This window comes from Homo sapiens, chromosome 22 (assembly GCF_000001405.40).
Source record: "Homo sapiens chromosome 22, GRCh38.p14 Primary Assembly".
Classification (NCBI taxonomy): domain Eukaryota; kingdom Metazoa; phylum Chordata; class Mammalia; order Primates; family Hominidae; genus Homo; species Homo sapiens.
The window spans coordinates 35,117,784-35,142,250 of record NC_000022.11 but is presented as its reverse complement, the minus strand read 5'-3'; the positions used below and the strand labels follow the sequence as shown (position 1 = coordinate 35,142,250).

The following is a 24,467-nucleotide window of genomic DNA, read 5'->3' as shown; positions in this document are numbered from 1 at the left end:
CAGAAGGTCCACATGTGTGCAGGTAGGGACCGGGGAACACAGGATTCAGGACAGAGACACGAGCAGCTGCACGCTGGGGGCTCATGCCTCAAACCCTCTCCCCACCATGTTCTAGCATGGAACACCAAGGAGTTGGAGTAGCCTAAATTTGGACCCAGACTTCTAGGTTGCTATGAAGGTCTATTTGTCATGGTAGGTGGATAGAATGTATTTTATGAACTTAGTTTGAGTGATAACTTTTAAATATTTAAGTGTACGGTCAGGGCTGCTTCTTGTGTGTGGGAGCTAGGGCAAATTTTTATAGGGTGTGTAGGAGCTGGGGCAATTTTTATTTTTATTTTTTTTGAGACAGAGTCTCACTCTGTTGCCCAGGCTGGAGTGCAGTGGGGCGATCTTGGCTCAATGCGACCTCTGCCTCCCAGGTTCAAACAATTCTTCTGCCTCAGCCTCCAGAGTAGCTGGGATTACAGGCACCCACCACTATTCCTGGCTAATTTATGTATTTTTAGTAGAGATGCGGTTTCATCATGTTGGCCAGGCTGGTCTTGAACTCCTGAACTCAAATGATCTGCCCACCTTGGCCTCCCAAAGTGCTGAGATTACAGGCATGAGTCACCGCACCTGGCCTGGGGCAAATATTTTAATGTCCCTGTTTATATAAACAATTTGTCACCCCGAATAAGTGTTGGTGCCAGTCTACTGGCACAATCACAGGTCATCTCATGCAAGAAAAACCGGCCAGTGGGAGCCATCTGCTTGCTGGCTCCTTTCTGGAGCAGGAGTCTGGCCTTGGGCCAGAGGAGGGAGGCTGGGGGAAGGGAGAGGGCCAGAGAGTGCCCCACAGGGGAGAAATGGGGACTGCAGCCCACGTGGGACCCAGCTTGGGCCTGGATTGCACCCCTAGGTTGGCACTGCTGGCCATGGGTGGTCATAGGCCCTGGCAGAGGATGTAGAGTGTTTGAGGAAGGCAGGGTACAGCGAGGGGGCCCTGGAACATGCAGTGGTCTAGGGGCAGTACTGGGGATGCCATATCGGCTCTATTTAAACTCTCACTCTAGGCCCCACAAATGTCAGACATGGAGCTGATCCACCCCCTTGTGCCATGTGGCCCAAGACATCACAGCCTTGAATTACTCAGGGGAGCAGCCGGCTCTCCCATGTGGGGGCGCTCTCTCCCCATAATCTCTCTCATTAAGAGTGAAATTTCCGTTCCCTGTGAGCCAGCCCTGAAACCCAAAGTCTCCTTTCCCAATGAAGATCTTTTCTTAAAAGCCTCAGGTCAGAGCCAAGCCCTTAGCCTGGCATTCCCAGCCTTTCCTGAGCTGGCCCCACGTGTCTTTCCAGACCTTCCTCCTGCTACTCTCTTCCGAGCAATTTACACGCTATTACCCATGATGATTCACAAATTCCAATTGAATTTGATTTTTTTTTTTTTTTTGAGACAGAGTTTTACTCTTATTGCCCAGGCTGGAGTGCAATGGTGCTATCTTGGCTCACTGCAACCTCTGCCTCCCGGGTTCAAGTGATTCTCCTGCCTCAGCTTCCTGAGTAGCTGGGATTACAGGCACATGCCATGACGCCCGCCTAATTTTTTGTATTTTTAGTAGAGATGGGATTTCACCATGTTGGTCAGGCTGGTTTCGAACTCCTGACCTTAGGTGATCTGCCCACCTTGGCCTCCCAAAGTGCTGGGATTACGGGTGTGAGCCACCATGCCCAGCCTCAATTTGAATTTTAAAACACATATAATGAGCAGTTAGCTACTGCCAAGCACATGCTGAACACATTCCTCAAGCAGTGGTTTCTAACCTTGGGCTCCTGTTATTTCCTCTTCTTGGAATAACCTTCCTGGCAATGCTCCTCCCCCAGTTCAAATGTCATTTCCTACAGTTTTTTCTTCTCGTTTGAATAACTTTGCTCCCCAATTAAAAACTTTTTTTTTTTTTTTTTTTTTTTTTAAGTAGAGATGAGATCTCGCTATGTTGCTCAGGCTGGTCTCGAACTCCTGGCCTCAAGCCATCCTTCTGCGATGGCCTCCCAAAGCACTGGGATTATAGGTGTGAGTCACTGTGCTTGGCTGGTTCCCCCCTTTTATTATGGCATCAATTCAGTTCAATCAAATTTATCACATAACAAAGCATGATACTCAGTGGATAAGACCCAGCCTTTGGGGTCAGTTTGAATTCTGGCCTGGAAATGTACTAGCTGTCTGACCTTGGGCAAGCCACGTCCTCTCTCTGAGCCTCAGTTTTTTCATCTGTAGAATGGGGATAGCAATAGCGCTATCTCATAGGGCTTTTGCGAGGATTCAATGAGCTAATGAGGATGATGATGATACTTAGAGCCTATCCCTAAGCCTGATGTCTGGCACTAGTGTTCAATGACTGTTAGTCATTACAGTCGTCATGGCTGTTATTAATATTAATTATGTACCTTCTGGGTTCTACACACTGTGCTATTATAATGAAGCACAGCCCCTGCCCTCAAGGAGCTCACAGCTGAGTGCAGAAGCAGACAGTTGACGCTAATACACCCGGGTTCCATAACAGAGGTTTTCTGGCAGAATCAGGAAAAACTTTGCAGAGGAGGTGTCCCTTGGACTTGCCTTGAAGGAAGGGCAGGTGTTTGGCAGATTGGGGTGTGAGGGAGTTGGGCTGGGAGGTGCCCGAGGTCTAGTATAAAATATCTGGAGCCAACTGGATGATCCAGTTGGCCATTGGGCTGCTCTTCCAGGAAGGGGCCTGAGTTGGCTTGGTGGCCTGGTTGTTGCTTGACATCATTGATGGTGAGCCCCCTTGGCCCTCCTCATGGCAGGACTGAGGGGGACTTATTTTCTCTCTCCTAGCCTCCCTCTCTCAGACCTGATGTGGGCCATCTCCTCTGCTTGGAATGCAATTTCCCTGGGTGGCACACTCCTATTCAACCTTCAACACTCAGCCCAGGTGTCACCTCCTCTACATCTTAGCATGCTTCCCCTGCACTCTCGTGGATCCTGGCATTCCTGGTCTTCTGACACATATTGCTGTGGGCTGTGATGTTCCAATTTACTTGCCTGTCTTCTTCCCCAGTAGATGAAGGCCTCATGGGGCCTCTGGAGGCAAAATTTTGACTTATTTATTTATTTTTTTTGGGTGCTCCCAGTGCCTGGAATAGAGAGTGTTTGTTGATGGTTGAGTGTTGATTACCCAGAATTCCTGGACTTTCAAGAGAGCCACATTCCTGTCTACAAATGCTCCTGTTTTAATTAGCCAGCACAGCCTGACTCCTAAGCAGTCCCATTCTGGGTTTTCTGTGCATTCTGAATGTGGTGCATTCAACTTCGCCACCTGTTGGGAGATGGGAAGAAAATGAGACAAATGGCCTTACAAGGGCCAATTGCTGTGGCAGTGCAGTCATTGCAGGCAACTCCGGCATTGGTGATCACCACAGCTCATCAGATGTGATTCGGGGGCCTGGACTAGAATGCGTTGATAACTGCAATGTGCCTGGAGCAATGCCAGCCACGCCTTTCTGTCCCAGATTGTCTATACATGGAACCCTTCCCATAGCCTCTGAGTCAGTACCACCCCCATTTCACAGGTGAGCAAACTGAGGCTTGTAGCATTGTGGTGGCTTGTCCATGGTGATGCTGTCAGCAAAGGCAGAGACTGAGTGGAATCCGCCAAGCTTTTCCTTCTCAGGTGCTGAGAGCAAAGGTCCCAGCATCTCTCTGGTTCTGTAGTTGGGAGAGGCCTGAGCAGTGAGCTTATACCCTTGGCCAACCTTCACCTTTTAATAGGTGTTTTCTCAATATTTACTCAGTGTTGGAGGGGGAGTCAACAGTGCGAGAGACCCTTCTTCCCCCCTCACATTCTCCTCTCCCTGTCTTCCATTCATCCATTGCCAAGTCTTCAATATGCTGGCCCCTTCCAAACCTTTATTTTCCCCACAGTTTTGTCTCCCAAGCCCCAGACTGCTGAATATCCCTGTTTGTGATCTGTTATTGTCTTTCTCAAAGTCCCCCAGACCTATCCTGGGGAAGAAGAATGAGATGTTTTCCTTGCCCTAATGGAGCTGAATTCTGGTAGATGAACAACAGATCAGAAAAAGAAGATTCAGAGAGCTTAAGTATCTCCCCAAAGTGTCACATGGCAGAGAGCCAGCCAGGACTCACACTTGAGACTCCAGACCCCTCACCCAGTATCCTGGCACTCTTTTCACAGTGCCAGGCTGTAGCTGTGCTCTAGAAAGGAGGGAACTCAACAATTAAGAACCATATAAAAGAAACACTGAAACAGAACAAAGAGAACCCAGGAGTCCTGGGTTCTAGTTCTGGCTCTGCCTCTGTCTCACTGTGCAACCTGAGATAACTCATTTTTCCTCTCTGGTCTCATGCTCTGCCTGTAAAATGAATAAATACTTTCCACCGTCAAAGGCCCACAAGTCCCCACACACATGCCGTTCCTCCATCCTCCATGTCCACTGGCAGCAATTATTGTGGTTGCTGTCTTATTCATTCCTGACTTACTTGTACCCATCACTCTCAGTAGAACTTGGACTCCTTAAGAGGATAAACCAAGTGCCATTTGTTTCTGTTTTTCCATAATATAGAACAAAGGGCCAGTTAAATGAACTGGGATTAATTCTGTGGGCAATAGAGAGCCACTGAAGGCTTGGGAGCAGGGCCCAGTGTATACAAAGCACTGTTTCAGATTTTTCTAGAAGTTATTCCTATTCTTTAAATTCTAAGAGGCAAAAAGTACTGTGGTGGTAAAGTCTTGAAGGCAAGACTTGATCAAGAATGAGTAACCTGGAACACAGCGGGAGAGTGTAGCTGGGGACAGTACCGCTAAGTGAATCCCCATTGGCACCTTTCAGTGCCGCTCCAGCCCTAAAATTGGGTAATTATGCCCACTGAGAAAGCTGTTAGCAACTTGTGCTCAGCACAGTGGGAAACAGTCAGCGGGTGAGTTCAAGAGAGTGTGATAATTGGATAATGCCTGATGATGCTTTAAAGCGTCCTTGGTGGATAGATGGAACCAGATGACCTCTCTGAGGCCTTCCAGCTTGAACATTCACGATCCATGCACACCTTTTAGTTTCTTTGTTTCTCAAGTGGTGAGAGGGGAGAGAAGATGCAGAAACCACTAGAGAGAGGGCGTTACCTGTTGAAAGTGCTTGGGTTCACATGCAAAAATGAAAATCCAATCCCACAATTATTGTGTGACACCTTCACCAGACTTCTTCCTGGTCTCGACTTTCTTGCTGTAGGGAGGCTTCACGTCTTACCCTGGTGAGCATTCTAAGATGGAAATGGAATGCTAGGGCAATACCATTGAGAGGTGAGGGCAGGTGGTAAGGGGAGGCTCCCACCAGCAGATGGACTCTCAGGGCCGAATTTCCAGGCAAAGGAAGCCATTTCCAATGCCAAAACACTGATGAACATTTTCCCAAGAGAAACCCAGGTAGGGAGGAGGCGGGAAGAAAACTCTTTCAACTGAGTACCTGTTATGGTTCAGGTTCTGTGCTTCATGCTGGAGATTTATTTTCTGGGCTCAGCCTCACATCATTTCTGCCAGGAAATGACAACAAACCCAGTTTTTATCACAACACTGAAGTTCAGGTTCTTTTTTTTTTTTTTTTTTTGAGACAGAATTTCGCTCTTTTTGCCCAGGCTGGAGTGCAATGGTGCAGTCTTGGCTCACTGCAACCTTTGCCTCCTGGGTTCAAGTGATTCTCCTGCCTCAGTCTCCCAAGTAGCTGAGATTACAGGTGTCCACCACCACGCCCGACTAATTTTGTATTTTTAGTAGAGATGGGGTTTCACCATGTTGGTCAGGCTGGTCTCAAACTCCTGATTTCAGGCGATCCACCCGCCTCGGCCTCCCAAAGTCCTGGGATTACAGGCATGAGCCACTTCGCCCAGCGAAGTTCAGATTCTTTAAATCAGCTGAGGTCACAGAGCTAAAAAGTCTCAAACCTTGGATTTAATGAGCTCCCTCTCCCTATTGGTTTCTGCATCTTCTCCTAAGGTCAGAATTGCCACTAGCCTATGTGGCACATTTGCACACATTAGAAGACGGTGCATTTCCTCAGGTGGATGAAACCCCACACCAGCGTGCACAGCTTGCTGAGCAGAGCCCAGGCTGTATTGCAACCCCCCTGGCCCCCTCAGCCGAGCACCGTTGTGCAGTGTGGAACTTCAACAAACATACATGGCAGCCCTGTCCAGGTCTGTCTCCTAATCCTGTGCTCTTCAAGACACACTGGGCCTTCTTGCAGCCAGATAGAATCACCTCCTCTTTTGCCTCCTTCACAGACATTCCTTCCATCCAGTGGATAAGTGGTTGGATGAGAATCATAGAATCAGAGAAGGAGGAGATAGAATTTGTATTATTAAATCCAAGCCTCTCATTTTATAGATGAGGATATTGACAACCAGGAGGTGGAAGTCACAGCCAAGGACACATCTTGAGTCATGAAGAGAAACTGTCAACTCACTGGCCTCCCGACCCTGTTTGCATCTCACCCTCAAAGGGTTTTGGCCTCAGCGCTTGCCCGCCGGTCTCTGGAACCCTATCCAAATGGTAACAACATCTAGGCTGTGACCAGGCCCTGATGTTCAATCTGGAGTTCCTTTCCTTCTCAGGGTGCCTGAGAGTTAGGGCTTTCACCCTTCACCCTCAGTTTGCCAAAGTCTCTTCTTAAGACACAGAGAAGGAAATTTGGTAAATTACTTTCTCTTTCTTGTTACTCTCAAAGAGCAGTGCCACTTCCCTGCGGTTAGGATTAAATGAAAGAAAGCATTTGATGAAAGGCACAGTCACTCCCCTGGGGCAGGCGAAAGGGCTATTCCTTCTTCTGTCCTCTACCTGGCCTCCTGCTTTCAAATACAGATGGAGCCATTCTCCTCTAAGATCTTCACGCTCAGGAAATCAGGGTTGTTGGCAGGGGAGGCATTCAGAATATTTAACCACCAGCAGGACCTGGGCACTGTCCAAGCAGGGCTGATGCAGGCGATAGCTAGAGCAGAGTCCTAGAGCCCCCCTGTGGCTCCTGAGGCTGAATGAAGGGGGGCGGGGGAAGGTAATGGTGGTCTAGTTGGCCCTGGGGGAGGGGCAGGGTGGCAGAGGCTCAGAACAGAAATGGTTCAATGACAAATGGTCTGCCTGTCCCTGTGCCTCCAGACTTACAGTCAACCCTGGCTGTTGGTGAGAAGTGGGTTAACCTCTGATGCCTACCCGCCAGGCACCTTCCCCAAGTCTGGGACAAGCGCCACGGTGGAAGAAGGTACTCAGGCTGAGGGGCCTGCGGCCCTCCCCTATCAGGTCAGAATTCCAGCTGGAGGCTTTCCCTGGGACAGCATGAGGTGCCACGGCTCCTCCCTTTACCTTTTCACCCCCGTGCCCTGCTGGTGACCCAGGTTTATGGGGCAGCCTATCTTCTCCTACAGTTGCAGGGGAACCCTTATCACGGTGCTGATTACACTAACAAGGCAGAGACACCCGCCCTGCTCTGTTGGGAGAACAACATGGAGCTCTAATTGTTTTATGGCCTCTTCACACTGAGAAAAGAGAGGAGAAATGCCAGCCACCTCCATCTGATTTCTAAGGCTTCTATTCTACAGTTACCTCCTTGTCAACCACTCCTGAGTCCCAAAACCCTGGTGTGGGGGAGCCCACATAGGGAAGGCACCTGAGAGCTGTCTGAGAGTTTCAGGGTAGTTGTGAGAAAACATCCCAAAACTGGCTTTTCCATTTGGTGAAAGGAAGCGGTGAAAGAAATCTAGCTCTCCTAGATCCAGACAAAGCCCTCATCTTGATGGTCCTCTTGCCAGGCCCTATAACAGGCACTGCGACTTCCCCGAGCCCAGCCAAAGCAAGGGGCCGCACAAAGCCCACCAGGCTGAGTAGAAAAACTCACGCTTCTCAGGAATATACCGGCATTCCCTCCATCAGCCAAACTCCAAAGACTGACATCTGTCATCTCCTGGTGCCTGCAGCAGTCCAAGGAGTGGGTGGGACTGGGGAGGGTGGAGGGAGGGCAGGGAGAAGTAAAGATTATTATCCACACTTCGTGGTTGAGGAAACAAACTAGGAATGTTAAGGGACCTTCCAGAGACAGCGAAGAGAAGAGCTGGGATTTGAACTCCAGTCTCTCCTTTTCCCTCCCCTTTCCTTCAGGGCCCTCCTCTCCCCTCCTCTTTCCTCTCCTTTCCTCCTCACCCCCACCTGCGCACACGCGCACACACACGCAGGCACACACACATGCACACACACGCACATTCGCTCACCTCTTTCCTGGGTCTTTCTCAGGTCGCCTCTCTCTCCTTCCTCCTCCCTTGTCTCCATCTCATCCTGCTCTCACTCTCTGTTTTCTGGCTGCCCTGCTCCATCCCTCTCAGCCTCTCCCTTGCTCTCTTTCCTCACCCCTCTCCCTCTCATTTCTCTTTCAGTCTCTGTCTGCTTTTTGCATCTCCCGCTGCCTGCTCGGTGGATATTATGCTTCCCCTTCTCTTCCTTTCTCCCGCAAACTGCTTTGACATGAGGGTCCAGGAAGCCTCTGCTTCTCCCTGTCTCCTCTGCCAGTGAGCGTCAGAGCTCCCTCTGCTTGGCATAGGGGCCCTGCCCCCAACTCGACTGCAGAAGCCCAAGCTGGCAGCGGACTCCATGGGAAGCACATAACCTGTTCCCTGAGTGGACTGGGACCTAGCCTTGGTGTCTCGGTGCCTTGGTGCCAGAGCCTCCCCTCGACTTCCTTAGCCAAACCATTAATTCCTTATACTTGTACTCAACAGTGGCCCGGTGCGTCTGTGAAAACACTTTCATTCTATTATTTTATTTTGATCTTCAGAACTGCATTGTAAGGCAGGCTGAGCAAGTTTGATGGTTCTCATATTACAGAAGGAGATATGGGAAACTAGCCTTTATCAAGGGCTTTCTCTGTGCCAGTCACTAAACACACACCTGTGAGGCACACACCAGCACTCCTGCTGACACTGGGCATCTATGTGCAAATTAGGAAAAGATGCCTACTCATTGGTACTCTTTCTTGCTACCTGCTTGAAGACCGTAATAGTAAAATACAAATCCATGCTGCTGCTGCTATGAATGATACCCTCTAGAGTTGTGCAGTGCACGACCTGCACACATGTACGTGGTGGCTCTAAACAATAGCAAACCTGCCAAGGAGAGATAATTGCTTGAATTTTGCATACAAGGATACCGATTCTGATCCCACCGTCTCAAGACAGCAGACTTCCCTTTCATTCCAACAAGCCTCTTGGTCCCCTGGTTTGGTTTTCCTGGTTCCTGGATATCAGCTGGGTTGGGAGCCACTAGCAATCTCTGATCCTCAGCCTTGATGTGTTCAGTTCAGGTGGTTCCATGACACAATGCAAAAGGCACCAGGCTGGGGGTCAGGATATTTGGCTCAAAACTAAGCTCTACCACTTACTAGCTGTGAAACCTTGGATTAGTTACTTTAACTTCTTTAAGCCTCAACTTTCCCATCTATAAAATGGGAAGAATCATGAATACTTTCCCCACAAGGTTGTCTGAGGATTGAGTGAGATAACGGATGTGAAAATAAATGACATATGGTAGACATTAATAAATGTTTGATGAATAAAATAATTCATGAATAAATACAGCGGAAAATATTGCTTCATAGGAGAAAGTGGACATAGGAGACTGTATTAAGAGCCAACGCTCCTGGGTGAATTCCTGGAGTCAGAAAAAGGTTAGCTGAGACTTTAGAGTCGGCAAGGTGCTCCTGTCACCCACAGACCCCCAGTCTCTCGGCACCCCAGGAACAACTGTCTTGAACTGCACTTTCTGTTCTTGTCATGGCCTCCACACTCATATCTCAAGGACCCAGAACATTCTGGAAGAGAGGAGTTAGTAGGCACTAACTAGCTCTTTTTTTTTTTTTTTTTTTGAGACTAACTAGCTCTTTTAACACAAGGTAGCTTTGACTTGTCAACATCTGGTCTATGACAGAATACCTTTCTTTACACCTTGGGAACACTCTTAGAATGTCAGGAGTAAATTAAAATTCTGCAAATCAAATTCTATTTTTGTGGCTCTAACTCAAATCTTCTTGATGGTGTTGTTTTTTAATGGGCAGATGAATCCTCAATTATCTGGCCTTCATCTGCTAGAAGCATTGTTTGCTTTATTGTTAGAAAGCTTAGAGTCAAATCTGCGACCACTTTGCAGTAAGTGGCTGGGACTCTGAGCAAATCCCAGATCTAAGCCTCTCTTCCTTTAACTTCCCTTTGCTTATTTTGCTATCTCCTTGTCTATGTCATTAGGTGCTTTATCTTGTGTCTCACGTATATCTTGGTACACTACCTTAAATCCTTTGGGGAACAAGGCAGGGCAGAGATAAAAAAATTTAATTTAAATGTGTCAGGTTAGTAGAAGCAAAGTCCACCCATGAAACTGAGATGATTCTGCAGATGCAAGGGTGTTATCGGGCTTCCCTTTGCTGAGCCTCCCCCACAGCCTCAGAGGCTGCACTGAAAGCTGGAATGAATTCACAAATGAATACGTGGAAATCTTGAACCAGCCCAGAGACTTGCAAACTGTGATCCGTGCAGCTTAAGCTTTCTGTGGACCTGACCAGAGCTCAAGGCTTCTGGCTCCCAGCTTCCACTAGAGCCATCTGCATTTCCTGTTTTACTTATTGGGCCTCCACATGAGATTAAAGGAAGTGTTCACAGCTAAAGACATCCTGAAAAGCCACAGAAGGAGGTGGCCTCTAGAGTTCTTTCAAGTCCTGCAAGTTTGATTATAACTTTCCTTGTCAAGCTTTTTTTTTTTTTTTTTTTTTTTTGGAAAAGGGTAACACTCTGAGAGTCACCCTTGTGCTCTGGAGCTGTCACCTCAAGGACTCTAAGATCTCAGTTCTGGGCTCTGGCCAGGGTGAAGCCAGTCAGGCTTCTAGGATGTAAAATTAAGGAGGCATGTGCTCTCAGGATTGGGCAAACGCTGGCCCTGCCGTTTAAGGAATGAGCGTCTCCTTAAGTTTTGCCACCGCCCCCTCCCCGCACTCCCCATGGACCTGCCTTAGCTTGGCCTTGCTTTAGTTGCCTTTCCCCTCACCCTGCATTTTGCAGTCTTGGATCTTTAAAATATGCTTAAATTCTACCTGTGTTTTGAAACACAACCACCATCACAACAACCTTGGCCCCACGCTCCCTTGTGGCTGCCTTTGCCTGCCCCCTCCCCTTGGCTGCCACACTTCTTCAAAGGTTGCCTGTACTTTTGGTCCCTGTTCCTTCTCCCCATCCTCTCCCTCCTCAACCCACCCCTATTTGGATTCTTCCCCATTGTCTCCAACAAACAGCTCTCAGGGAGGGCATCATGGACATTCTCCACGTTGCTAAAGTCCTGGACACTTTCAGACCTATCTCCTTGAATCAGCTCCCACTTGACTTACTTGATACAAAGTATCCTGGCTCAGCTACTAGTTCTCTGGATTCTTGTCCTCTGTCTTCTCCATTATGGTTGAGCATCCTTTACCAGGCACTGAATGTTGATTTTCCTCAAAGCTCCATCCTGCCTCCTCTGCTCTTCCTCACTACCTTCTCATCTGCCGCCATGCTTTCAGTTGCCACCTGCATTCCCTGTCTTCAGAATTTATATCTGCTCTCTCTGCTGGGTTCCAGACCAATATATAAATTGTCCTTTGTCATCCCTACTTGGATGTCTCCAGTGTATCACAAAATCCACATATTCAAAACTGAACCCATGATCTCCTTGTTCTCCCTCTCCACACCACCCCTAAAGACCTAGTTCTGTTTATTCTTTCTTCTAAATATTTTTATAATCACGAGCTAGCTGATATGGGAGAATATTGAGGCAATATAGGTGGGAGGAGTCGTGGAGGCTGCATGACCTTAAATCCCAAGGAGAGGGAAAAGTTATTTAATTGTCAAAAATATGACAGGACTGTCAAAAATAAATTAGATGAGAAATATACGTTGCAAAACGTGAGTCACCATTCTGTTCACTCAGAGATGCAATATTCATGGCGAACTTTTCATAAAAAAGTATAAGCGGCCGGGTGCGGTGGCTCACGCTTGTAATCCCAGCACTTTGGGAGGTTGAGGCGGGTGGGTCACCTGAGGTCAGGAGTTCGAGACCAGCCTGGCCAACATGGCGAAAACCCATCTCTACTAAGAATACAAAAATTAGCTGGGCGTGGTGGCTCACGTCTGTAATCATAGCTACTTGGGAGGCTGAGGCACGAGAATCGCTTGAACCTGGGAGGCAGATGTTGCAGTGAGCCGAGGTTGCGTCACTGCACTCCAGCCTGGGCGACAGAGACTCTGTCTCAAAAAAAAAAAAAAAAATTATAAGCACCATGATGAAATCTACTGATGATAGCACTTGATGAAACTGGTGGAGTAAACTCCATCACCACATTTGAGAAACCGCTGTGCCATCCCCTACCCTACTCCCAGTCCACCAGTGGGGAATTTCACTGAGCTGCGGGAGATCCCCAGAGGTGGCTAGTGACAGCAAAGCTCTACTTTGCACATGCTGTTCCCACTACCTGGGATTATTTTTCCTTCTCCTCTCCCTTCCCAGCTCCTCTCTATTCTTTTCCCCTGACCAAGTGTTACTCATTCTTTGTTTTTTATTTTTTTTTGAGATGGAGTCTCGCTCTGTTGCCCAGGCTGGAGTGCAGTGGCGCTATCTCGGCTCGCTGCAAGCTCCACCTCCCGGGTCCATGCCATTCTCCTGCCTCAGCCTCCTGAGTAGCTGGGACTACAGGTGCCTGCCACCATGCCCAGCTAATTTTGTTTTGTATTTTTAGTAGAGATGGGATTTCACCGTGTTAGCGAGGATGGTCTCGATCTCCTGACCCTGTGATCCGCCCGCCTCGGCCTCCCCTCATCCTTTGGTTTTTAAGTTAAATGTTACTTCCTCTGAGAAGCCTTCCTAGAATGCCCTTCCTAAGATTGTTCTGGGGTAGAGTCGGCCAATGGAAGTGCTCATGAGAAGTATAAGCCATGGAAGAGGAAGAAGGTTTTGCTCTCCAGAGGCATAGCAGCCGGGGAGGTGTACAGGCTTGAGCCTGGAAGCTTCCAGGGGAGCTTCTTGAGAGTCACCTACATCAGGGTCGCAGGTGGAGGAGCTTCTTGGTGGCCTCTGGGTGAGCTCCTGAAAATCACTCCCTTCAATGCTGCTGATAATAAATAATATCGATCTTCCCCCAAAACCATAAGCTCCGTGTGGTCAGGGTCACCATCTACATAATACATGACTGTATCCCCAGGTATTAGACTAAACTAAAACAGAGCCTATGTGGTCCCATTTAACAGATTAGAAGACTGAGAGCCAGGGTAGGTCACAAGATAGTGGCAGAGCCACTGTCAACCTACTTCTGAGTGCGTTCTTTCTTTGCCATGAGAACACTAGAAATGAAAGAGGGAAATGGCTTAAGTTTGAAATAGCTTTTGAGTCACATTTTCAGGTGTTAAGGCTCCAAATCGAGATGCTAGTCACACTGAAACTGAATCACAGGCTTCTCACTAATACCACTGAGTTATGATCACCATGTTCCAGTTGACAAAATTATTTCTTATCTTTGTGTTTTACAGGTATAACAATAAAAATTATTGTCAAGGGTATTATTACAATTTTTAACTACTAATGGAATTAAAATGTTTGATGGAGTATTGGCAACAAAAATGTACTCCTCACAGCATGTAAGAACTTTTTATTTATCATTTCTGGGCTTTCCAGTTGCTATAGCAATAAAATTCATACTCACCAGGATTATTACCATTTTCAGCCACTAATGGAATTACTATTTTTGTTTGTTTGTGGTTTTAGACCTTAGAGTAAAATGTAATTCCATCAACGGTATTGAAAATTTTAATGTCCTTAAACATTACCATGAAAGATCAACATAATAACGGAATTCCTCTAAGCTGATGATCACTCCCCTTTCAGCCACAAGGTCTTCTTGTTTCTCTCACTATGAGATCCAAATTTGTTAAGAAAGCATTTGGGGCATTCATTCATTATACAAGTATTGAGTAAGGCCCTGTGCTAGGGGTGGAGGCTGCAAAGACAAGTAAGACGTCTGGCATGGTAGTTAAGGATTCAGGCTTTGGGACCATCTGAACCTGAGTTTGAATCCTGGTTCTGGTGGGTGGCTCTGGGCAAGTTATCTAACTGCTTGAAGTTTCTGTTTCCTTATTCCAAAAGAAATGAGGAAACAATTCCCAGTTTGATGTTGGGTGAAGACGGAAAGAGACTATCTTTGCAATGTGCTTGGGAAGATGCTTGGTGCAGAATAGATGCTCAATGAATGATGGTGGTTGCTGTGTTTGTGGTTGCTGATGCTGTAGTCACAGCCCAGCCCTTTCTCTCAAAGCATTTGTTTTTAAGCAGGGGACATTCCATAGTTCTGACATGTGCTACACAGAGTATCTCAGGAGAGCTGTCTAATCCAGCTGGGAAAGGTCAGGTGGCTTCCTGCTGGAGGTGACTCCTAAGCTGAGTCTTGAAGGATGGGTGGTATTGCTACACAGGGAGAAAAGGAGAGGACTTTCCAGGTAAGTGCAAAGTCAAGAAAGCTAGTGAGAGCTTAGTGCCTGTGGGCGGGAGAGCAGTCATCAGATAGAGAGCAGTGGGCTTCTCCATGGGCTAAGCGACCCCCACCAGGCAACTCTGACTTTGAGCATTTCCCCAAACTCCTTCCTTCTCAACATGTGAAAATCCATTAATCATAATACACCATGCTTGGAGAGCCTGCAGGCTGTCTTTGGATGAAAGGAAGCATTATCATATTAACTAATTACATGAATTAAAATAGATTAATTAAATAAGTGGCTTAATGAGATTAGTGCATTTATTATTTAAGTATCCATCACTACTATTGATAATAATAATGGATTCTGCCCTTATAACAGGTGACAAATCTGTCAGCAAGCAGTGGGGTTTAAAAACCGCAAAGGGGGGTCACGTACATAGGGTAGACAGAGGATGCTGCAACTCCCCTGGGCTTGTCCCTCGGAATCCCATGGTGACGAAGGCCAGGATGTGGTCAGAGCGCTGGTTTTCATCCCCCCCACTTAGGCGACCTCTCAGAGTTTCGGTTTCCTCACCTGTAAAAAGGACAGGGGCTATCTCAGCTTAGTGGGATTCAGTGATACTAAAATTAGATAATGTTCCCAGCCAGATAAATCTGGGTTTCCCCCAAAGGAGAGCCTGGGTCAAAGGATAATGAGGGAACCCCCTCGTTGCCACTCAACCTTGCTATCTCAGTAAATTCATCCACTTGGCCACTGAAGATGAACAGCTGCCATTTGACTGGAATTCACCATGTCCACCAACACTGGACATACCAGTTCCCTGGCAACATCTACCACTCTTATCAAAAGGATAAGAGGTCATGGTATTAGCTCCCCTTCTTTCCTGTTTTTATTCCCCCGATCCTCACGCCTTCATTCTGGGATCACATTCCCAAATAAACTATCCACATAAACTTTTGGGGGAATCCAGGATAAACATCGGGAACTGAAAGTGTCCCTTGAAAGCAATCCTCCAGATGACATTTTGGAACTGACGCCTGCAGAGGTGGCTGCCCCAGGCTTCTCAGAGATGCTGGTTTGCTTTCCCTACACCCTGGCCTGCCTCCCTCCCAACAGCATGTGGCTTATTGCCTCTGTGGAGGGTGGGTTTGCCCATCTCACATAATAAATATAGCTAGCTGCCCTGCCTCCCTAAGCCTTCTGGTCCCTTTCTCAATATTGTGCCAGAGCAGTTCTAGCATCTTCACTTCATCTAATTATACTTTGGGAGGCTGAAGCAGGTGGATCATTTGAGGTCAGGAGTTCAAGACCACCTGGCCAACATGATGAAACCCCGACTCTACTAAAAGTACAAAAATTAGCTGGGCGGTAGTGGTGTGCACCTGTAATCCCAGCTACTCGGGAGGCTGAGGCAGAATTGCTTGAGCCTGAGAGGCGGAGGTTGCGGTGAGCCGAGATCACAACACTGCACTCCAGCCTGGGTGACAGAGTGAGACTCTATCTCAAAAACAAAACAAAACATAACAAACAAAAAAACTTCAACAAATAAATCACCGTGCTCCAGCTACAAGGAGCTGTCCCAACAGAGTGTTAGGATGGCCCCCAGTATCCTTGTTAAAACAGGTCACAATTGAGTGTCCTTGTGTCAATACTTCTACCCTAACCCGTGAGAGTCTTTTTGGCTGGGTCTTGCAACTCCTTCAGTGTGAAAACTACCCCAACCCAGAGCTGCATTTGTGTGTTACTGCTTGCGTTGTACCTAGACTTTATTCTGTTTATCATCCTGAAAGTAATGAGGGACTGTAGGGGTAGATCTTGAGGAGGACAAGCATGAATTTGTGAGATACCAGCCTCACTCTCTGCAGGCTCTCTAAGCAAGGAAACATAGCACTGCTCTGTAGAGGGGAGGAGGATGTTTCTTTCTTTTTTCTTTTCTTTTCTTTTTCTTTTTTCTTTTTTTTTTTGTTTGAGACAGAGTCTTGCTCTGTCGCCCAGGCTGGAGTGCAATGGTGCAATCTCGGCTCACTGCAACCTCTGCCTCCCGAGTTCAAGTGGTTCTCCTGCCTCAGCCTCCTGAGTAGCTGGGATTACAGGCACGTGCCACCACTCTTAGCTAATTTTTGTATTTTTAGTAGAGACGGGGTTTCACCATGTTGGCCAGGCTGGTCTTGAACTCCTGACCTCAGGTGATCCACCCGCCTCGGCCTCCCAAAGTGCTGGGATTACAGGCATGAACTACCATGCCCAGCTGGAAGAGGATGTTTCTATCGGCCTGATATGTTCACAGCATGTGGGGTCCAACATTCTCAGGCTAGTTTACCTAACTGTCCTCGTTCTGAATTTTAGGGTCCCATTCATTTCCTCTGAGACCTCTGATGATCACAGGAGTCTTGTGGCTGTGCATTTAGGTTCCTCTGTAATTCTTCCACTCTTATAGTCAGATCCAGGCCGGATTCTCAGCACGTTTTGCCAGGTAGCTTCAGGAGATGAGAGTATCCTTAAATAGTGCTATAGATGGAGCACAACTCTGCCTTGAATTGACAGGTTGGCTTATCTGAGCCTGTCATTTGTCGTTTTTAACGTTTCTCAAGCAGTTAAGAAAAGCTGGCTCACTGCACAGTCTTCATAATTACTCTTACCCTTAGGCTGGTCAAGTGCCACAGTCATTACACAATTCAGAATTTCACTATCCAGCTGTACCTTATTCTGTTCAACCACAGATGGAGGCCTGAGTGGTTGTGATGCTACAGAATTTCAGGGGTTATTAATAGCTGCAGAATGTTAACTTTCTGGATTGCTTTCCAGGGCCACTCCCAGTACTCAATGTCTTTGCCTGGGTTTCCCCAAAGGTTTATGTGAAGATAGTTTATTTGGAAATGTGATCCCAGGAAGGAGGAGCGAGGATAGCAGGGAATAAAAACAGGAAAGAAGTAAATCCAGTACAAAGACCTGCTATCCTTTTGATGAGTTTGGCCACCTCTAAAGAGGACTACTTATTCAATTTCAGAGTTCCTTTTTTTTTTTTTTGAGACGGAGTCTCACTCTGTCACCTAGGCTGGAGTGCGGTGGCAAGATCTCGGCTCACTGCAACCTCCACTTCCCAGGTTCAAGCGATTCTCCTGCCTCAGCCTCCCAAGTAGCTGGAACTACAGGTACATGCCACCACACTCAGCTAATTTTTGTATTTTAAGTAGAGACAGGGTTTCACTGTGTTGGTCAGGCTGGTCTCAAACTCCTGACCTCAGGTGATCCGTCCACCTCGCCCTCCCAAAGTGGTGGGATTACAGGTGTGAGCCACCGCGCCCAGCCCAGAGTTCCTTCTAAAAGCCTTCTGGGTTAGGTTTCAGAACCACCTACTGGAGGAAAGAAAGAGGGTGTCTGTCCCCTGCTGGTCAAGAATTGTCTGAAGAGGGTCAGCTGCCCTGCACTTCCAGTTTGCATGTTAGTGAGTGTTGAGTGGATTTTTCCCAGGTACCTGGGGTCAGGAGGTGAGAAATGCATAGTAGGGGCCTGAGATAAGGCACAGTCAGGTTTAACACTCATGAAATTGGTCTAAACCTGCACAGTTCTGCTCTTCACAGCAGTGGCTGGAATAAGAGATGAAGCTGATAAGATTTGATGTGATGTCCAAGGAGTGGCCAGTATGTGAAGTGTTTTGCAAAGTTTCTGGTACAAAATAAGAGAACAATTTAAAAGGCAGTTACGATTTTGTATCCCTGGTTACATGCCTTCAATAAATAATGGATGAAGGAAAGAAAAGAGTAAGTCCCTGGCCTTTTGTAAGAGGGTCTCACATGTATATTTAAACGGCTTAGCTCACATGCTAGTGCAATGTGAGTGTGGGACGTCTGAGGGGTGTCTGTCCACATTCTACAAAGATCTCTGTGCTGAACCAACAGGACTTTCCACTGATATTCTTGAGAAGAGATTTTGGCCTATGTCTCCAGAGGAGCACACTTGAATAAACTCAGGTGGCCTGGGGAAGTATAGCCTAGTGGTTATGATCATGGGCTCTGAGACTGCTCAGGGTTGAATCCAGACTCAATCACTTATTAAAATGTGTGTGGGCAATGTCTGCTTCTGGGAAGATAGGACAGACATACTTTTCCTTACTTCTCTTGCTGTGTGCCACTAACAACCCTGGACATGAAATACAAAATAAACATAAGACTCTAAAAGGTGGAGAAGGCGGCAGGCTGGCTAGGGACTTTGGGATCTGAGGAAAAATCGGGTGATGAGTTTCTAGGAAATGTCAATCCAGATTCCTATACCCAGTGAAAATATCCTTCAGGAATGAAGGGGAAATCAAGCCATTCTCAGATAAAGGAAAATAAGAATTTGCCGCCGCTAATGGACCTGTCCTAAAAGAATGGACGGAAGGGCCGGGCGCGGCAGCTCACACCTGTAATCCCAGCACTTTGGGAGGCCGAGGTGGGTGGATCACCTGAGGTCAGGAGTTCCAGACCAGCCTGGTCAATATGGTGAAACCCCATCTCTACTAAAAATACAAAAATTATCCATGCATGGTGGCAGGCAGCTGTAATCTCAGCTACTCGGGAGGCTGGGGCAGGAGAATCGCTTGAACCCGGGAGGTAGAGGTTGCAGTGAGCGGAGATTGCACCACTGCACTCCAGCCTGGGTGACAGAGCAAGGCTCTGTCTCAAAAAAAAAAAAAAAAAAAAAAAAGGAATGGGCAGAAGAAATTCTCTAAACAGTGTTTCAGGTGCAGTAGGGATTAGAGGGAAGTGGATTGATATAAAAGGGCAATATGCAACAAGAGGGATCTTTGTGGTGAATGAAATGTTCTGTATGTTGATTGTATCAGTCAATATCCTGGTTGTGGTAGTTCTGCAAGATGTTACCACTGGGGGATTTCTCTGTTATTTCTTGCAGCTGCTTATAAAGCTCCGATTATCTCAAAATAAGAAGTTTAGTTAAAAAATGCATGACTTCAGGCAAGTTACTCACATCTTTCAGCCTTAGGTTTTACCATCTGTGAAATGGGGATGATACAAAGATTCCCAAATGTAAAATGGGAATGCCACAGAGTGTTGCTGTAAATAAATAAAATGAAACAAGACAGTTACTCAGAACAGCATCTGACACATGGTAACCACTTGTTATATGTTAGCAATAATTACTACTAACAATAAAAAGAACTACTTTGCAGCCAGGCACGGTGGCCCATGCTTGTAATCCCAGCACTTTGGGAGGCTGAGGCAGGAGGATCATGAGGTCAGGAAATCGAGACCATCATGGCTAACACAGTGAAACCTTGTCACTACTAAAAATACAAACAATTAGCCGAGTGTGATGGCATGCGCCTGTAGTCCCAGCTACTCAGGAGGCTGAGGCAGGAGAATTGCTTGAACCCGGGAGGCAGAGGTTGCAGTGAGCTGAGATCGCGACACTGCACTCCAGCCTGGGCGACAGAGTGAGACTCAATCTCAAAAAAAAAAAAAAAAAAAGTACTACTTTGCATTGGGTAGCACATCAAACCCTTAACATAGCTTCTCTCACTTAATCCTTATAATAGCCCTGGGAGGCAGATGCTACCAGAAAGGCCATTTTCAGATGAGAAAATGGGAGCTTTAGCAAGTTTTCCAAGGTCACACAGCTAATAAGAGGCACATGCACTTTGGGAGGCCGAGGCAGGTGGATCACGGGGTCAGGAGATCGAGACTATACTGGCTAACATGGTGAAACCCTGTCTCTACTGAAAATACAAAAAATTAGCCAGGTGTCGTGGCGGGTGCCTGTAGTCCCAGCTATTCGCGAGGCTGAGACAGGAGAATGGTGTGAACCCGGGAGGCAGAGCTTGCAGTGAGCCAAGATGGCGCCACTGCACTCCAGCCTGGGAGACAGAGCGAGACTCCATCTCAAAAAAAAAAAAAAGAGGCACATGTGGGATTTGAACCCTGGCTTCTCCCCCTGCCCAGGTTCGAAACCACTTCGTCACATTGCCCAGATATTGGTTCTCCTTCCAAGATGGATTTTTGTTGTTGTTTTTATTTGTCTCCTCTGTCTCTTTACCAGAACAATGATTACAAAGGTTTATGAAGCTGGTCTTTGACCTAGAGAGACCATGCCCCATGCCCCAATCCTCCCCCACCAGCCATAAAACCAAGAGATGGAGTAGGAGGAGGCAGTGTGAAAGAGAGCAACACAAATAGGCAGGCTGGGGTCCTAGAGCCTACGACAAAGAGGTATAAAGAGTGGGAGAGGGCCAGGCGCTGGTGGCTTGTGCCTGTAATCCCAACACTTTGGGAGGCCGAGGCAGGCAGATCACTTGAGGTCAGGAGTTTGAGACCAGCCTGACCAACATGGTGAAACCCCATCTCTACCCCAAAATGCTAAAATTAGCTGGGCGTGGTGGGGTGCACCTGTAGTCCCAGCTACTCAGGAGTCTGAGATGGGAGAATCACTTGAACCTGGGAGGCAGAGGTTGTAGTGAGCTGAGATTGCGCCACTGCACTCCAGCGTGGGTGACAAGAGTGAGACCCTGTCTCAAAAATAATAATAAAAAAAGAGTGGGAGAAATCAGCCAAGGCCAGGAGAGGTCCCCCAGGGGCCTACCCCAGTGGGAACCAGAATGACAGAGAAAAGTTTAGCTCCACATTTCCCTACTTGCTGATGCTATGACCTTGAGCAAATGCACTAACCTCTCTGAGCCCCAGTTACTTCACTGACAAAACAGGGCTTGTGTTAGCACCTCTGGATTCTCCGAAGACTAGATGAGGTCCCAGTAGTGAGCACATTGCACCATTGCTGGTACACAGTAAGCTCTTAATAAATGTTCCCTCCTTCTGCTCTCCTCACTGGTAGCTGATTTAAGCGAGTGAGGTGATCCTCACCTTGGGGCTCATAGAGCTTAGGGGGCTCTGTTGCTACAGAAGTCAGATATCAAAAGTTGTGGAGGTTGTTTTCTGTTGTTGAAGGAAGCATCTTTCTATTAATATAATGGTGTGTTAAGGGTATTGCACGTGGTAGGCGTGGGAAGGGGTGAGCTGAGCTGTGAGGAAAGGGCCCTTTCCCCAGGTTTCAGGGAAGGAGGCTCAAGCCTAAGGTGATTTTTAAATAATAGTCCCAGCTGTGTGGCTCAGGAAATGAGGATTTCATAAGAACAACAATAATAAAAATAGCAACTACACAGCAGATACTTAGCATTAATAGCAGGCTAGTTTATCAGCAGAGCACTCAGCAGGCCTTAACTAATTAAAACTGCTTCAAGGTAAGCAGTTATTGATTTGTGAGGAAAGATTAAAATAACTCCACGTAGAGCTTCTTATGTCCAGTCAGGCTGAACAACGAGTGAGCCTGCGACCTGAGAATGGCTTCATTCCCAGGTGCAAGGGGTGATGCCTGTGGGGGGCTTCTGGGAGGCTGGAGCCCCCAGAAGGCCTTGGATCTTCTGGACCAAAAGGTTTTTTCAACTGCAGAGAGGAGACAGCCATGCTTGCCCTCCAGGGGCTGGGTCCGGGGGAAGAAGGTGCCGTGGGATGGAAGAAGGTGCCACAGTGACAGTAACGCTGGCTGCTGTGAATTGAGCACTTACCATGTGCCAGTGACCTAGGTGTTGACTCCCGTTATCATATTTAATTTGAATAACAGCCCTATGAGGTGAATACCATTATCCCTGTCTTACAGATTGAGAAACTGAGGTCGTGGGAGATGAAGTCATTTTCCTAAGGTCCCATAGCTGGTAAGAACGAGCTTTTTCTCAGGATTTCTGGAAGGTTTTGCACAGACTTGCTCTCAGTTGATCCTTAAAATGAACGTCTGGGGCTAGGGACGTGTTCTTTTTTTACAGGTGGGGAAAATGAGGCCCACAAGAAGGACATCCCTTATCAGTGGTGGGACCAGGACACATAAGCCCAGGGCTGTCTGACTCCAAGATCACTTCTCTTTCTCCTCCTGGATTCTGAGACTGATGGAAAGAGGGGCTCTCCAGGCTCTACCTTGAAGAGGAAGTTTCTGATGTCAAACCTGGTGCTGAGAGTTTGTGACCTTTGCTCAGCACACTGGTGGTGGGGATCAGAGCCAGATTAGATTCTCCAGCCACTCTGGTCTCTTTCCAGCCTTGGTCTGTGCCTCTGCAAAGTATTCCATGTCTACAAAGTGTTTTTGTATCCCTTTTCTCAATGCTCCTCAGCAAGCAGGACTGGAAAATAAGTCAAGTGTCCAGGCCCAGGCATGGGACAGATTCACTGCTGAGCTTAGGCTACCTGACACTGAAGGCCAGGGCTAGGGGGAACCCCAGGTGCTTCCTGGACTGGAGGATCCTTGTCACCAACATAGCTGGCATCCTGGGACCACTGCTGGAGAAAAAGGAGACGGAAAGGAAGCACGTACTGAAAACCTACAATAGCTTCATATTGTGTTAGATATTTTTACTTACTCCTTAATTTAACTCTGCCACAAAGCTAACATTATCATCAACTTCGCCATAGTGCAGAGGAGAGAGCTGGCTGACCCAAGGATACACAGCTAGCAGGTGAGTGAAGCAGAGCTTGATTCCGGTATGACAGCTCCAGAGCCCACCTGCTTAACAGTGATGCGTGCCCACCTGCCCTGGAAATGGGGCATGCACAGTGCATTATTAATGATAAAGCTCATATTTCTGAATGGGTGCTGTATGCCATGCACACGGCCCTTTTATGTAATCCCTAGGACAGTCATAGGCAAAAGGTGTTATCGTGCCCATTTTATAGATAAAACATTCAAAACCAGGAGGTGCGCAGCAAAGTATTCCATGTCTACAAAGTGCTTTCATGTCCCTTTTCTCAATGCTGCAAAGCAGGCAGGACTAAAAAGCGAATCAAGTACCCAGGCCAACTCATGGGGCAGATTCACTATTGAGCTCAGGCCATCTGACACTGAAGACTCTTGGCCCTCCATAGGGATCCCTGTCCATGGATGGATTCAGGGAAGGACAAGGGGCCGTGCCCACCCAGCCAGTACCCCGGGTGGGCTGTCAGACCCTGGCCTCCAGATTTAAGCCTCATTCTCCATGCCAGGTGCTACTGGTAATGAAGGCATAGCTTTCCTGAGTGGCGTTTCTTGGTGAGTAAGGAAGCAAGACGTGGTACTCAAGTCTGACTCCAAAACCCAACTCTCACCTACTACGCTGATATTTATTTCATCTTTGTTTCTTACGCTTGGACATCTCCTAGTATCACCTCTTCACGGTCCTTCCAGCTTCTGTTCTTGGCTTTAAAGTCAACGTATCCCAGTTTGAGGTTGCGTATCTTTATAGCACAGTAGTCAGAAGACCTGGGCATTGATGTTTGTAAAAGCTTCCCCATGAGGTTCTAGTGTGTGGCCTGGGCTGAGAGTCACAGCTGAAGGAAAAGGTGCAGAATCCTCGTTCTAGAACAATCTCCTGAGATCTTCTGGTTCCATGCCCTGGCTTTGCCCATTTCACAGGTGAGTCAGGAACCTGAGGCCCAGGAAGCTGAGGTGGCATTTGAAGGGCGTGTGGAGCATGGGTGGGGCCTAGAAGCGGATCTCCTGGCTCTGGTGTGGGGCTTTTTCTCGTACCACTTAGCTCTGCAGCCACGGCCTTGAATGTGAGCCTTGCCGTCCCTTTCCTGGGCAGCTCTGGTTTCTCCCTGGTCCCCGCTCTTATGGCCTTGTCCTCCCGTGGGCCACTTTCTTCTGGCCAGCCTTGATTATATCACAAGTCGGGGCCTCCAAACACCGCAGGACCAAGGAATTGTGGAAGTTACAGCAGAAGGAGTACTGAGAGGGACTGTCATTGTGGTGAGAGAGAGGGCTTCGCTTCCATTGGATCTGACCATCTCCCAGACACACTAGCACTTGCCACCTTTCAGCTTTGGCCTGCATCTGGAAGTAAGATGATGGAGAAAGGCAGCCCAAATAGCACCTTCATTATCGATAGTGCCTGGCATGGCGAATGGGGCTTAAATCT

The 24,467-nt window shown here is 47.6% G+C and overlaps 1 long non-coding RNA gene across 1 annotated transcript in view, besides 5 other annotated features; it reads left to right on the top strand.

Annotated features, from left to right (window-relative positions):
* LINC01399 (long intergenic non-protein coding RNA 1399) overlaps positions 1–22,427 on the top strand; it is a 111,233-nt gene extending 88,806 nt beyond the window's left edge. The window contains exons 5-6 of the long non-coding RNA NR_126356.1: positions 22,184–22,238; positions 22,347–22,427. This is a non-coding gene — a long non-coding RNA (long intergenic non-protein coding RNA 1399). The remainder of the gene's footprint in view (positions 1–22,183; positions 22,239–22,346) is intronic.
* Positions 6,579–7,115: an enhancer, noted in NCBI's record as "NANOG-H3K4me1 hESC enhancer chr22:35531129-35531665 (GRCh37/hg19 assembly coordinates)". NCBI's record gives its function as "activates a minimal SCP1, AML or CMV promoter by ChIP-STARR-seq in naive H9 embryonic stem cells {active_cell/tissue: H9 hESC(naive)}" and the evidence as "EXISTENCE:reporter gene assay evidence [ECO:0000049][PMID:30033119]".
* Positions 10,755–10,924: an enhancer, noted in NCBI's record as "active region_18893". NCBI's record gives its function as "activates an Ori minimal core promoter by ATAC-STARR-seq in GM12878 lymphoblastoid cells {active_cell/tissue: GM12878}" and the evidence as "EXISTENCE:reporter gene assay evidence [ECO:0000049][PMID:35858748]".
* Positions 14,923–15,182: an enhancer, noted in NCBI's record as "active region_18892". NCBI's record gives its function as "activates an Ori minimal core promoter by ATAC-STARR-seq in GM12878 lymphoblastoid cells {active_cell/tissue: GM12878}" and the evidence as "EXISTENCE:reporter gene assay evidence [ECO:0000049][PMID:35858748]".
* Positions 15,193–15,252: an enhancer, noted in NCBI's record as "active region_18891". NCBI's record gives its function as "activates an Ori minimal core promoter by ATAC-STARR-seq in GM12878 lymphoblastoid cells {active_cell/tissue: GM12878}" and the evidence as "EXISTENCE:reporter gene assay evidence [ECO:0000049][PMID:35858748]".
* Positions 15,293–15,342: an enhancer, noted in NCBI's record as "active region_18890". NCBI's record gives its function as "activates an Ori minimal core promoter by ATAC-STARR-seq in GM12878 lymphoblastoid cells {active_cell/tissue: GM12878}" and the evidence as "EXISTENCE:reporter gene assay evidence [ECO:0000049][PMID:35858748]".
* Positions 22,428–24,467: the final 2,040 nt, after the last annotated feature.